Source organism: Homo sapiens, chromosome 4 (genome assembly GCF_000001405.40).
Source record: "Homo sapiens chromosome 4, GRCh38.p14 Primary Assembly".
In the NCBI taxonomy this organism is placed as follows: Eukaryota; Metazoa; Chordata; class Mammalia; order Primates; family Hominidae; genus Homo; species Homo sapiens.
This window is the reverse complement of record NC_000004.12, coordinates 5916309-5930800: the sequence shown is the minus strand read 5'-3', so window position 1 is coordinate 5930800 and position 14492 is coordinate 5916309. Positions and strand designations below refer to the sequence as shown.

General features: G+C 50.9%; 1 protein-coding gene and 1 non-coding gene across 5 annotated transcripts in view, besides 2 other annotated features; both read left to right on the top strand.

Annotated features, from left to right (window-relative positions):
* Positions 1-14492, top strand: part of C4orf50 (chromosome 4 open reading frame 50) — a 120960-nt gene that overhangs the window by 87746 nt on the left and 18722 nt on the right. For 3 of the 4 annotated variants that reach the window (XM_017008893.2, XM_047415667.1, XM_047415663.1), the window contains one exon: positions 2232-2390. The exons of the other annotated variant lie outside the window; for it this stretch is intronic. The gene's annotated coding sequence lies outside the window, so the exon portion shown is untranslated. The remainder of the gene's footprint in view (positions 1-2231; positions 2391-14492) is intronic. 4 annotated transcript variants of the gene reach the window in all.
* Positions 5677-6177: an enhancer, noted in NCBI's record as "H3K4me1 hESC enhancer chr4:5926351-5926851 (GRCh37/hg19 assembly coordinates)". NCBI's record gives its function as "activates a minimal SCP1, AML or CMV promoter by ChIP-STARR-seq in primed H9 embryonic stem cells {active_cell/tissue: H9 hESC(primed)}" and the evidence as "EXISTENCE:reporter gene assay evidence [ECO:0000049][PMID:30033119]".
* Positions 7473-7526, top strand: MIR378D1 (microRNA 378d-1). Its single transcript, NR_039608.1, has one exon. It is a non-coding gene; the product is annotated as a microRNA 378d-1 (primary transcript).
* Positions 8160-8659: an enhancer, noted in NCBI's record as "H3K4me1 hESC enhancer chr4:5923869-5924368 (GRCh37/hg19 assembly coordinates)". NCBI's record gives its function as "activates a minimal SCP1, AML or CMV promoter by ChIP-STARR-seq in naive H9 embryonic stem cells {active_cell/tissue: H9 hESC(naive)}" and the evidence as "EXISTENCE:reporter gene assay evidence [ECO:0000049][PMID:30033119]".

Here is a 14492-nt window from a genome sequence, read left to right as displayed (position 1 = left end):
TGCCTTCATGGTGCTCACGTGCTCCCAGGGGAGACGCACACTGGAGTTGAGTGCAACACTGTAAACTGTAACACATATGTTCACTCATGGAGGGGGATCCGGCTCTGGAGAGAGCCAGAGGGTGATGAGCAGACCCACCCAGGGCGGGCGGGGCCCCAGAGGCACTTGCTTCATGCCCGCTCTATGCAGAGCTGCTGCACACACGCCCACAGTGAGACACGGGAGGCACTGCTCAGACACATGGATTAAAGTTGTTAAAACTGTCTAGTGTTTCAAGATTCACAAAACCTGAACACTTTGATTCTTCTAGCAACTTTATGAAGTGGTCAGCTGAACATAAGAAAGGGGTTCAAAAAAGTCTGGTGGTGGATTGAGCAAATACCAGAAGGTAGAGTCAGCCTGCGGGGATAGGAAGTCAAGCAAGGATGGGGGCCGGAAGTCAGGGTTAATCCCTATAGAGCTGACCAAATAGCACCTGACACATAAAGACAGTCAGTAGGTAATGTTACCTCTTATAATTGGTTGCTATTTTCCAAAGAAATGGAAGGTGCCCAGAGACCATCCAATCTAACATCCTCATTGAACAGAACAGGAATCTGAGGCCTAGAGAGACGTCAATGGGAAGGCAGCCACAGGACACTGAGTCCAGGCTCCCCGATTCTCAGTGCTGCACACCCACACTCCCCACCATACAGAGCAGCCTCTTTCATGAGCCCAATGTTTTCTCTATCAACACCTGGTTGTCATCATGCCTAGAAGTATCACCTGCGTCCTGTTAGACACAGGCGCACAATTTAAAGGCCAAATACATTCACGAGGGCATAAACCTATCAAGTAAAAGCCACCTCTAACTTGGCATCTCTAGTAGAGCCCAATAAAATTTGCTTACTGCGGGGTAGCTAATATTTAAAGCTGGTTATTGTCACAACACAGCTTAATGGTCTAGCATCTTCAACACTTAATTGCCCTTTATTAGATCATTGCAGAATGAGATAATTGGACCAAGCACTTGAACTTCTGACTCTCTCCTATTTATATGGTGGTGCACACAGATGGGGAATTTCACAAGTGCCTTTTAGGGCTAGCGCTCACAGAGCGCTGGGCAGCCTGGAGTTTACTGCCACTGCATTTACTCAGGGCATCCTTCATTCAGAAAAACTACATTTCCTGGAGTTTCTCACTTTTATTCTTTCTGCTTATAAGAAGTAAATTGTAAATTTCCTTTCCCCTTTCCTTCTGTCCTTTTGTTTCCAGCACAAGTCCCTGTTATTAAAACACAATTCACTTCAGAGTCAGTTCTCTTGGGTTTATAAAAGTGCGTATTTCATATTGAGCATAAAAGTCAAGGAAATGTTATTCCTAAAGAAGAATGTGCTCGCTTTTGCAAAACAAAATGTAAATTCTGGCTACCTTGGTTGTTGGGTTTGGGATAAAGGAATATTTACATAACTTCCCGCCTTCAAACCGATGCAGATATGGGCTTCAAAAAAACGTCTGCTGACAGGCGCATCAGAGCCTGAAAAATATTCACACCTTTGAAAACTGACTGGTACTAGCCGCTCTGGGGGTTCTTGGTTGGTCACTGAGACACAGATATAACCAATTGCGGGATTTATCGTGCTATGATTTATAATAGTGCGTTCTTAGAAACAATCTGAATGTCCAACTGCCTGGAAATGGATGAGGAAATGATATATTCACTCCATGAAATAGTGGCCTTTTCACATTTGTTCAGCACATTTTTATTGAATGCCTACTGTGGGTATCAGGGACAGTGTTAGGAGGTAGCTATGCAATGATGAGTGGGACAATGATGCAGTTGTTAGCAATCACTGCTACAAAGATGATGCTTTGGGGAAATCTTTTAATGCAAAGTCAAAACCCCCCAGAAATGTTATTATCTCAATTTTGTTGAAAGCACACAAAACACTGGGAAGGTTGACTTATTTTTTGTTTTTATCTCTTTCACCAAATATCTCTAAGGCATACCTAAAACATCTCTAGTAGGGAAAAACAAGAAAGTTTTTAAAAAAGCGTTTGACATGTTCATTTGGAGGTTCCCCTGTTAGGAATTGTGTCTGTATGCCGGAAGTCACTGCATCTTTGGAAGTGACAGGAGAAGGTGCCATCTGCAGTAGAATGCCTTCTGGCCCCAGGGAGATGTTTTATCACCGGGAAGCATGCAGGGTGTTCATGCCTTCAGCTCATCCCGGTGCTCGTCCTTCCTCCAGAGCCTCATGGGAAATCACGACTTCTCCGTGCCCGTCCCTGTCAGCACACAGATCTGCCTCCTGGTTTCCATAAGCACTTGGTCAGAACAAACAAAGGTCTTTCATCATCTGCTCCACGAACTCCCTTGGTGACCTGGAACCCAGCTGCTGCTGTCCGAGGTATCTTCAGGGTGTGTGTGTGTGTGTGTGTATGTGTGTGTGTGTGTATGTGTGTGTGTGTGTATGAGAGGGGAAGAGCAAGAGCTAGCCCATGAAAGGTTTTGCTTACAGTTTTTGCCTTTGACCTTATAAGATTACCTTGCAGTTTGTATTCCAGGATCCTGAGTATGGCAGACACTCAGTGAATAGAAAATGGATACTGTTTCCGAGTAATTTTGTGAAAGATTTTTATTTTTGCCTTAATGAGCTCTATCTGAATTAAATTTTCAGGTGTATTATGAACATTTACCCTTTATAGAGGACCATAAACATTATGTTCCTTAATATATTGCAAGTTCCACGCATTAATGTGAGCTCCGTATTTGCAGAGGCCTGCAGGAAGCTGTAACTGGTACTCAGGCGAGTGAGGCAGGCCTCCTGTGCGGTGGAGCTTGTCAACTCAGGACACATCAGTGGCAGGGCACATGGGGGTTCTGGGACCCCAGGGGAGGGACCCAGGCAGGTGTTGGGGAGGGGATTGGCAGTGCATTTGGGGAAGGTTTCCTGGAGGAGGCCATGTCTGAGCTGAAGCATGAAGAATGGGTGTATTAGTCTGTTCTCACACTGCTGTTAAAGGTACTACCTGAGACTGGGTAACTTATAAAGGAAAGAGGTTTAATTGACTCATAGTTCTGCATGGCTGGGGAGGCCTCAGGAAACTTACAATCATGGCAGAAGGAGAAGGGGAAGAAGGCACATCTAACATGGCTGTAGGAGAGAAAGAGAGACAGAGAGAGAGAGACAGAGGGAGAGCAGGGTAAACTCCCACTTTCAAACCATCAGATCTCATGAGAACTCCCTCACTATCACCAGAACAGCATGGGGGAACCTCCCCCATGATCTAATCACCTCCTACTAGGTCCCTCCCTCAACACATGGGGTTTACAATTTGAGATGAGATTTGGGTGAGGACACAGAGCCAAGCCATATCACTGGATAGGAGTCGTCAAGCAGAGGGCAGAGACAGAAAGCAAGAGAGTAAGCTCCAGGCAGGGGAAACAAAGGGGCTTGGGGGAGAGGTTAGAAAGACTGGAGGGAGTTGAGTGTGGTTGGAGTGGGGAGCGGTCAGTGTCAGAGATGGGCTGGAAAAGGAGCAAGGCCTGGAGGCTTTGCACACATGACCCTCTGAGCTGTTGCCATAAGACCTGCTTCTGAGCCCTGATTCCACAGTGTCTCTTCCATGGCCTGTCCTTTGGCCTCCAGGCACAGCTGGCTCCAGGGGAGACTGCACCGCCAGACATTCTCTGCCACCTCCATCTCCTGCTTTGTGGTCACCACCATCTGACAAGCATGCATCTGCTCCCTATCTTCCCCTTCCACAGTGGGCATCGTAAAAGCAGGAATTTCCACGCATTTCACCAGAACACTCCCTGTCTGTCTTCCCCTTCCACAGTAAGCACCATAAGAGCAGGAACTTCTATATATTTCACCAGAAACATGGGCACACGGAAAGCAGTCATAAAATATGTACTGATCGGATGAATGGTCAGTGAATGAATGAATATGGATGAGCCGCAGAGCCACTTTGGTTCCCCCTCGGGCCAGAGTTCAGGTTTCCTGTTTGTGTGGGAAACAGCTGGAAGGATGAGTGGTCATGCAGGCAGGGTGGGCCTGGGCGCTGCTTTTGAACTTACAGCCTGGTTTATTTCCACCACTTTATTGCGCTTGTCATTTGGCTTAGAAAATATGGTCTGTGGGCCCGGGGACACAGGTACTGTGCTGGGTCATCTGCCCTTTAAAAAAAAAAAATTGAGGCAAAATTCACATGATGTAAAATTCACCATTTGAGCCACGTTAAAGTGCACAATTTGTGGCTTTTAGTGCCTTCACAATGTTGTGCCACCATCACCACTAATTTCAGAACGTTTTCATCGTCCTAAAAAGGAACACTGTCCCCTTTAGGCCCTTTAGACAGTCCCTGTCTGTTCCCTCCACGCTCTGGGGTAACTGACATCCGGCGGTCCACTTTCCGTCCCTGTGGGTCTGTCTGCTCTGGGCCCTTCGTGGGAAGAGAATCATGCACCACGTGGCCTTCGTGTCTGTTTCCTTTCACCTAGCGTCCCATTTTCAAGGTCAGCCTCCGCCGTAGCAGGTGATAGCACGTCATTCCTTCTCGTGGCTAAATAATGTTCCCCTGGATAGATGGGCCATATTTAGGTTATCCATTCACCAGCTGATGAACATTTTGGTTGTCTCCATTTTTTGACTATTATGAGTGTTTAGGTCACCAGATTAATAGGGGCTCATTATAAAAATCTAAACCTTATTGAAAGACACGTTGGGCGAAAGGAAAACTCCCTGGAGCCCCTCCTTCCAGCTATCGTGTCGTCCGCATGGATCTGTGCGTGGCTCCGCCTTCTGCATGGCAGACTCAGCTGCCGATCTCCACAGGAACCCCTCTCTGCCTACAGTCACAGCCTTCCCTGTGAGGCCTCAGGTTTCTCTGCATTGCTGAGATCTTGCCCTGGGTCTGCATCTCCTCCCAGCCCTCTCCAGTCCTTAAGACCCCCTTCCCAACTTCCATCACCTGGTGAACTCCAGCTCATCCCCCGCTGCCAAGGGTGGGTCCCAGGCCTGGCTCAGTGCTTCCCCAACCCTGGTCCTCGCTCCCAAACCCTGGTGTAGGTGTTTATCTCGCCTACCAGACTGTGGGCCCCCCAAGGCCAGGGCCATGTCTGGGCATTTCTGTGACCACAGGGCCGTGCTCAGGCAGTGCTGGGTGGAAGCTCACATTGGTGGGAGAGGCAGGTTGCCATAGAAACCCAGTGTTATGCTTGGTGAAAGGACAGGATCTGCTCATGGGACACAGCCATCCTCCTCTCTGCGTTTCCCGGGGCCAGGCTGGCTGTTTCTGCCAGTCCTTGTCCACTGGTACCGTCCTCCCAACAGGGTGACCATCGGTCCTGAGGCCCTCTGGCCTTGCCTCAAGTTTATCTTTCTAGTTCTCATGCTGCGGAATGTACGGTCACCAGTTCCCACACAAGCTTCAGGGCTCCCCATGCCTCCCTGCCTGGAATGGTCCTTTGCGAAGAGAGTTGGGGATCCAGCGGCCTGGGGGTCCCCCAACAGCCCTCCCCACTAGAGCCCACCCCCCACCACACCTCCTTGCTGCTTCAGGGGTTGCGGGTCTCCCCTTGCCGAGCGCCATATCCCTTCCCTCTGCCCATCTCAGAAGGCCCTCCATCAGCTGGTCCCTTCTCTTCCCCACTCAGTGAAGTCTGTCTCCACTCCCTCTGCTGGCCTCTCCCTCCCAACCCAAGTGGCCCAGACCAACATCTTGGCAAACCCAAAAGCAGCTTCCTGGTCCTCTCCTACCTGGTGCATGGCCACCACTGCGAACCTCCTGCCCCACCCCCCAAACCTCTCCCACTCCCCTTCCTGGCCAGGGAATTCCCAGACTTCCTCCTGAGCTGCACACCTGCCACCCAAGTGCTCCTTCCCAGGGTTCCACCCTTGCCCTGGCACCTGGCGGCCACTGGGACCTCCCTGCTAAGCTCCGGACCCTCTGACCTGCTGTTCTGTAATAATGCACCTTCCTGTTCCCACTTGGATGTTCCATGGGCAACTGAAAGAGCTACAGCTGGACTTGGCATCTTCCTCTATAAAGCCGCTTCATATTGTGCAAGTGGATACCCCTCTCCCCACATCCACGTGGAACTTGATCTCAGTTCCCAGCCCAGGAGTCCCTCCTCCTTCCTCCCCGAGAGAGGCGGCCAGCCACTCTGATGGCAGAAGACCTGGGCTGCTGCTCCAGGCCCGCCCTGGGTTCTCAGCACTGAGGGCCCTATAGCCAGGGATTGACGGTTCACAGCGGCTCATGCTCGGGGCCAGGCCAGGAGGTTTCTCTACCCTTGCTCAGCCTCCAACAAACCGTCTGGCCTTTCCTGCTCTCTGCTCCTGCTGGCCCTGGGTGTGGGGCAGGCTGGGAATGTGCTGTGCCTGTCCCAGTTCTCGCTAAGATAGGCCTCCAGGGCTGGATGTGGGGAGGGTCCAGGAGCCCCCACTTTTGGCCTCAAACCTAAGCCATCAGCTCCTGCAGTTTAATCAGAAATCGACTATTTTGGTTTCCATTTGACTCTTGGCTCTTGTATTAGTCAGGGTTCTCTAAAGGGACAGAAATAATAGGATAGATGCATATATGAAGGGGAGTTTATTAAGGAGTATTGACTTACATGATTAGAAGGTGAAGACCCACAATAGGCCATCTACAAACTGAGGAGCCAGGAAGCCAGTCTGAGTCCCAAAACCTCAAAAGCAGGGAAGCTGACAGTGCAGACTTCAATCTGTGGCCCAAGGCCCGAGAGCCCCTGGCAAACCACTGGTGTAGGTCCCAGAGTCCAAAAGCTGAAGAACTTGGAGCCTAATGTTCAGGAGCGGGAAGCATCCAGCATGGGAGAAAGATGAAGGCTGGAAGACTCAGCAAGTCTGCTCTTCCATCTTCTCCTGCCTGCTTTATTCTAGCGACGCTGGCAGCTGATCAGATGGTGCCCACCCAGATGGAGGGTAGGTCTGCCTCTCCCAGCCCACTGACTCAAATGTTAATCTCCTTTGGCAACACCCTCACAGACACACCCAGGAACAATACTTTGCATCCTTCAACCCAATCAAGTTGACACTCAGTATTAACCATGACAACTCTCAATGTGTGTGGCCTAAGTCTACAGGCCGGAGCCATTGGAAGGAAATTTGTGGGAGGGGCTGGGTTAGGAGTGACCACACAGCCTCCCACATTCCCTACTGATGGATCATGCCTGGCACCAGGCCAGCCTTCTCCCCTCCATCCCTACCCCCGATCCCTCGCCCAGCCCTGTGGGTTCTGCCTCCTTTCTATCATTCTCTCCATCTGCTTGCACCTGTGCTGGTGGGGTGGGGTCCAGGCAGGCACTAATGCACACCTGTCCCCAGCCGCCCCCGCCACAAAAGCCTCCTCCCTGAGTCTATCTAATCCGCATCCCCCTTCCCCTTGTTAGCAATGAACACAATTAGTAGCACATGTGGGCTCTGCGCTTGGTCCAGAGTTCACACTCAGGGCTCATTGCCATCACTGTTTCTGTCCTTGTTCTTGTTGTTATTACTGGACTTGGAGTCAGAAACAGGTTCGAATCCCAACTCTACCACCCTTTAGCTGCGATCCTTCGGCCACATTTGTAACCTCCCTGAATATCAGTTTCTCATCTGTAAAACAGGGATTATAATCGCTCCCTTGCATTGTTGCTGAGATAATTAAGTTAATTACACGTGCAAAATGTCAGGTCCCTTTCCCTCCTGGAACAGGGAAAATCGCGTCTACTCCAGGAAAGTTCACTCTGTGTCCCTCCTTAGAGTTTCTTTGGGCTCCCAGGGAGAAAATGTGTGAAAAGTGGATTGTGAATGCTGAAGTGCTGTCAAAATGTTTAGAATGATGATTACTAATGACAGTTTAGGGCAGCTGGGAGAGAAGCTGGGGTGAGGTGAAGGTCTAGGCTCCTGCCTTTCAAAGGTCTCTCAGAGCCATGGGACAGGGTTGGGAGGAGAGAGAGCTAATGAGGAGACCATGAGTTGTGTGTTACTTGGAGCCAGGAGGCTGGAGTCCAGCAAACTCCCTGGGTCCTTTCCCACCCTAGAGTCTGGCATCCATCTGCCCATTTGATGAGCATGCCACGAGGGCCGCTGCAGGCTGGGCACTGCCATGGATGCAGGAGCTGGAGGGGACAGGAGGACAACCCTTCTCCTGCCCTCATGGTGCTTACCATCTACAGGTGAGATGGTTAGATAGGCAGTTTACAAGCAAGGCACTCTCCCCGAAGCCCTCTTCTGCAGAGTTACCCATGGCATGCCACGCCTGCCCCTTCCCGTGGGTCCAATTCCCCCAAGGACTCTGTCTTATTTCCCAGCATAGCCCCAACACCTGATGCAGGGCCCAGCACCTAGAAGGTGTTCGATAAGTAAGTGACAAATTGGACCAAGTCAGTGAAAGCTGACTACTGTGCAGTAGAGGGCCAGGTATGAGTTACCCGACCCACAAGGTTATTTGTTTTTCATTGTGTAGGAAACACGGACTTAAGGTTTGCATCTTTTCAGGCAGTTGTTTTGAAAGACACACCTCCTGGGATTCTGAGGAGATGGGAGGGCCCATCCTCTGTCCCCGTGCATCACTGTCACGTGCATCGCAGTGGGCCCCGGCCCACCACTCTGGGATTAGCTTTCCCTGCATGTGGTCCCTGTGCTCTGGGCTCTGACAGCCTCCACCCTGCAGGCTTGTCTTCCAGCCACTGGGATCTGAGCTGAGGCAGCCACCCTGGGATCTCTCAAGTGTGTATCTCCTCTGGGCTCTCATCACTTTCCTGCTTGACCAGAAACCAGCATACTGGGGGCAGAGCAGGGGGCTGCTGTTCCTAGTTATTAGGTTCCTTCGGGGGCTTTTTTCCAAATGGGATCAGAGAGACACTCTGCTGCTTTTTGTGCCTGATGCAGTAGCTGAGCCTTCTCTGCCTTCACAGGCAGCCTCTGGCCACACCCTTATCACAGCTTTCCCTGGCCCCATTTCCTCACCTCCCAGCACCGGCCGTCAGACTGCTCTTTCTTTAGAAAGGCAGCACTTTTTATATCACTCCTGTGTGCAAAAATACTTCTTATATCCACCCACTCTTATCTGCAGGGTAAAATCCAAACTCTCTACCTTTGCATGGAAGCTTTCCACCCTCTCGAGTGTCCCCTCCTCCTCCTCTCTCCAGCTCTGCCTGCCAACTTACCCACCCGGTGGCTCCTCCCGAAACACACTCAGCATCTCCCCACCCCTGAGCCTCCCTGGAAGCTTTCCCCACATCGAAGCCCTCCTGCTTTTTGATGCTGGCAGGGTCTGTCAGCTGGAAGCCAACTCTAACTTTGCATTCTGTTACTTTATCTGCACTGTCTCACGGCATTCATCCCTTCCCCTATATGTGCACATAACATGTGCCACCGTCTACATATGCAGACACGCATGTGTGTATATATATCCTGGAGGCCATTTGTCCCAGGGCCTCAGGCTCCTCCCCCAGCCCACCGCCTGACTGGGAGGCAGCTCTTGGCTTCTTTCTGAGTTCCTGAACAGAATCCACTTGCACGGCAGGACTGAGCAATGCAGATTTATTGAAGAGTCTGTCAGGGAGCCCAGGAGGATGACACATCATCAAGCCTATCACAGGCAACCGCACATCCCCGCCGGACACCTGTCATCCCCTGGGATCCTCCCTCAGCGTGGAAGGGCCCAGCAATGGATGGGGAGCTGGAACTGCTCCTGGGACATTGCCTGGCTCTTCCTGGACCAGCTGCTTGCTCAGGTATCAAGGTCTCAGGTCACTCAGATAAGCAGGCCACATCCCAGAGAAATCCCAGCTGTGGTCAGAGTTCTTCAGCATGAGGGTGACTGTCCACTGCTCCTGCCACTCCTGGAAGCATCGTACAACCCGAGGCTTCCCATGGGCTCAGCCATTCTGCCCTGACCAGTGAGACCAAAATCTAGTACCCCTCGGAGCTCACAGCACACCTTTGCAGTCAGCAGTTGTTGAGCACGGAGTTGTTTGCGTTTGCTCTACCATCATGGTACTTGTGCTTGGAAAACCAAATGCAATATTTGGCCAGGTGCTGTGGCTCACGCCTGTAATCCCAGCACTTTGGGAGGCCAAGATGGGTGGATCACCTGAGGTGAGGAGTTCAAGACCAGCCTGGCCAAATGGTGAAAGCCCATCTCTATTAAAAATACAAAAATTAGCAGGGCATGGTGGCACACACCTGTAGTCCCAGCTACTTGGGAGGGTGAGGCAGGAGAATAGCTTGAACCCAGGAAATGAAGGTTGCAGTGAGCTGAAATTGTGCCACTGCACTCCAGCCTGGGTGACAGAGTGAGACTCCATCTCAAAAAAAAAAAAAAAAAAAGCAATGTTTATTCTCTCCCTTCATCCTCCATGCTGAGACAATCATCACAACCAGCATGAAGTAGGTACCTGCCATGTTCCAGACCCTGTTATAGGCACCAGGCGCACACCTCAACTCACTTCATCATCGCAACCAGCTCCAAAGTAGACATGACTGTCATACCCTCCTCACAGATGTAAAAACAGATCTCACAGCTAGTGAGTGGCAGAGGTGGGATTTGAACCTGGCAGTCTCGTTCCAGAGCCTGAGCTCCCAATTGCTATGCAAGAAACACTAATGCACATAGAGTTATCCCCGGTATCTGTGCAGCATTGTTTCCAGGACCTCCTAAGGAGACCCACATCTGAGGATGCTCAAGTCCTTGTTAGAAAATGGCACGGCATTTGCATATAACCTACACAGTGTGTGCTGTAAATCATCTCTATTACTTAAAATACTTATAATTACTATAATACCTAATACAATGTAAATGCTCTATAAGTAGTTGTCATACTGTGTTGTTGAGGGAATGATGACAAGAAAAGTCTGTGCGTGTTGAACACAGACTAAGTTTTCTTTGAGTATTTTCAATCCCTGGTTGGTTGAATCGATGGATGTGGAACCCATGGATAGGGAGGGCCACCTGTGCCCGAAGAAACCCCTATTTCAGAGTTGATTCTGGTGAAGCGTCTTCTCCCATGGGCTTTGTGGGAGCTCAGCAAGAGAGCATTTTCTTGTCTGCCATGGCAGCGGTTTCAGCTGGTGTGGTCCCTCCAGGGCCCAGTAGGCACCAATTCTTATTTGCAGCAGCCAGCCTCGCAAAGGCCTGACTACTCAGTGTCTCAGTGTGGCGTTTGCTGACCTGGGGTTAATGCCTTGGGGTCAGGGTGGTTGCATTGGAAGGGAGATTCTGGAGACAGCAGCTATCCTCTCCACCCATGCTTCAGCTGATAGCTGCTCAGGGAAACCTTCCTGGGAGACGTCCTCGACATGGCCTCCTGCACAGTCTCTGTGGGGCTGCTGAGGCATGAGGCAGGTGAGTCCCCTTTAGGAAAGGGTGTGCCCCCCACCCCCACCTGCCCCTGCCTCAGTCCACTGCCTACAGGGAGTGAGTGAAAGAAGATCTAATGTGTCACCTGGAAGGTGATACACACTCCACGCCAGTTCATCCAGACTTCTAGAACCTTCCTGAGCTGTGGTAGCCATGGAAATCGGGCATTGGGTCTGCCAACCCTCAAGCCTGGGGCTCCTCTGAACTGGAAACAGGCCCCTGAATACATTCAGCTCCGGAAATGGCACAGCCAGGGGCCCTGAATGAGAGAGGAGTCCTGCGATCTGACGTTGCCCCCACACCCCAGCATTCCCCGCTACCGCTCACTAGCAATGTCCCACCTGGGAAAGAGGGAGCCACGTCTGTCCCAACCAGGAGCCATAGCAGCAAGTTCTCTTGAGAAGCACCGAGACTTGGGCAAGCCCTTTGACTCCTCCGGGTCTCAGTTTCCCCATCTGTGCAGAGGAATGCAGTCTGGACCGGTGATTCTCAGCCCTGGTTGCACGTTAGAACCACCTGGGAGGGGTATGCTTTAAAAGATAGCATTGCTGGGGTCCCCCGCCAGGAGACTCCATTCATTTGGTCTGGAATGGTCCAGGGAGGGACACTTTTGGCAGCTCCCCAGTCGTTCTGGCATGCCTCCAGGCTGAGAAGCAACACCTGGCTGACCCCTGCAGTGGGGCCCATTTGCAAAGGATGTACTGTAGCTAAATGCAGAAGGGCGGAGAGAGGTCATCATTTTCCTTAGTATGCCTTTGGGATGCTTGGATGCAGCAAAAAGTCAATTTACAAGCCCCACTTAAGACGTGACTTGCTCTCTCATTTCCCTTAGAGCTTCCTTCTGAAATTCGCAAGGTGAGCCCAGACCAGGCACAGCCCTGAGCTCCACTCCTCTCTGGGCTGCAGCCACTGTGGCTGGACCCAGACCAGGAGCCCAGTTCATGACCAGTGAATGAGCCCACTTAAGCCACTTGCAAATCCTTAACTGTGGGAGGACATTGGGTTGTTTTTATTTCCAAAGGTGACGGTGTGGACCAGTTAGGAATGTGGTTCTGAAGTGAAATTACCCAGGTTTGAATTCCAGCAGCACTGCTTTCTGTAACAGATGCAGAGCCTTGAGCGAGGCCCTCCCACTCTGTGACTCCACTTCCCCATCTGTGAAATGGGACGTGAGGTGTGAATTGTGCTACCTGGATTTGAACTGGCTGACGTTCTTTCTGCTGTGTGATAACTGAAGCTCACCATCCCTGCTGCGGTGGGAGGTGGTTGTATGATATGACCTCGCCTCCTCTTTTGTTTCTTGTGGTTGAGTTTTGAGTTTGGGGGGCCTACTGTTTCTGAGGGCTTCTTCCCGGAGCTTCCTGACAGCAGAAGTGACAGCACAGTTTCTTTATCAAATGTTGCCCTTTCGTTACCTGCTTCACCCTCGGGGCCCTAGAATCATTTTTCTTAGTCGTCATTTGCGTCGGGCCAGTCCCCGGCTCTCTGATGAATGACCAGCCGCATCTCATTGCATTCTGTGCCAATTGCACGCCACCTCTCGCCTGGGCCCCTGCTTGGCCTGGGATGATTTATGGAAGTCGAAGGCAGGATGACTTCTAATGACCTGTGCAAACCAGGACCGGGGTGGGCACAGCTGAAATGCTGGAGTGCTTGATAATTAAATGCCTTCTGGGGTTGGGTGTGTGCTTTCAAGGCTCAAGAAAGAAACATACTATAGCTTTCAGTAGAAATACAGAAATTGGCCAGGCATAGTGGCTCATGCCTGCACTTTGGGAGGCCAAGGTGAGCGGATCACGAGGTCAAGAGATCGAGACCATCCTGGCCAACATGGTGAAACCCTGTCTCTACTAAAAATACAAAAATTAGCTGGATGTGGTGGTGCGTGCCTGTAGTCCCAGCTACTCAGGAGGCTGAGGCAGGAGTATCGCTTGAACCCGGAAGGCAAAGGTTTCAGTGAGCCGAGATCGTGCCATTGCACTCTAGCCTAGTGACAGAGCGAGACTCCATCTCAAAAAAAAAAAAAAAAAAAAAAAAAAGAAATACAGGAATTGAAACCTACGACTTTCCTGCATCAATGGCTTCAGGTTGTTATTCTTTTTAAGAAGGATCATGTATATTTTTCAGTTATACTTTCCTGTATATTATGGTTCACAAACACATTTTATTTTAAAGATTTAAAATGTCTAGCTTTTGCAGCCCCAGGCTGGCTAAGCAGGGCTGTGTGAATGAGCTCACCTTCTCAGATTTTAGACAAGTTACTCAATGACTCTTGAGCCTCAGCTTCCTCATCTATAACAGTGGGATAAGGATACAGTAGTCATACAAATTGAGAATTATATCAAAAAATGTGGGGGCCTCTGGTAGCGTAGGCATGATGTACGTGATCTGGAAATCTTGGATCCACTTTCCTGTGGCCAAATCTTTACTTAGGTTTGGCTAATTTGGTGTCGAACCAGGGAAACTTCCAACTTCTAGGGAAAGCCAGCTCTGGATTTCCACCCTCTTCAGTCCACATAGTGATGTGTTTGGGCCCGATGGCACTGTCCCCAGCCTGCCTCTGCTCTCAGCTGCAGTGCTTTGTTGCTGGCAAGCTCAGACTCTGCTTGTGCCCACCTCAAGCAGAGGCTCCTGTCCTCTAAGCAGAAGATCTGCGAGGCCTTCTGTGCTCTTCACAGAAGTGCTCTCGGGGCCGTGACCCTATTTCCTGCAGGAGTGACCTCAGTACCCATCTGGATATTGTCTTCTCTGCCCTCCCTGTCTCACCTCCCTGCTCCCTCACTCCTACTTCTGGGATCTCCCCCCAAATAAACCACCTGCACCCCTGTCTGGGTCTCAGGCTCTGCTTTTGAGGGTGCCCAATCCAAGACAGGCAGCTTTTAGAAACTTGCAGAGTAATAGCTTTGCCCTTGGGTGAGTCACCCTGCCCTGAAGGCAACCTGGTTCTCCTCTGTGTCCTGGGGAAGAAGGGAGTGGGCTGCGATGTGAGGGAAAACAACCCAGTGCCTGGGGTCTGAGCTCTGGGGGCAGGTCCTGGCTCCCAGCCTTCTCTGTGGTGGGCAGGGACCCAAGGCTGTCTGTTCGGCGTGGTTAAGCCCCACCCCTCTCCTAGTTGATTGGTCAACACCCAGACAAAA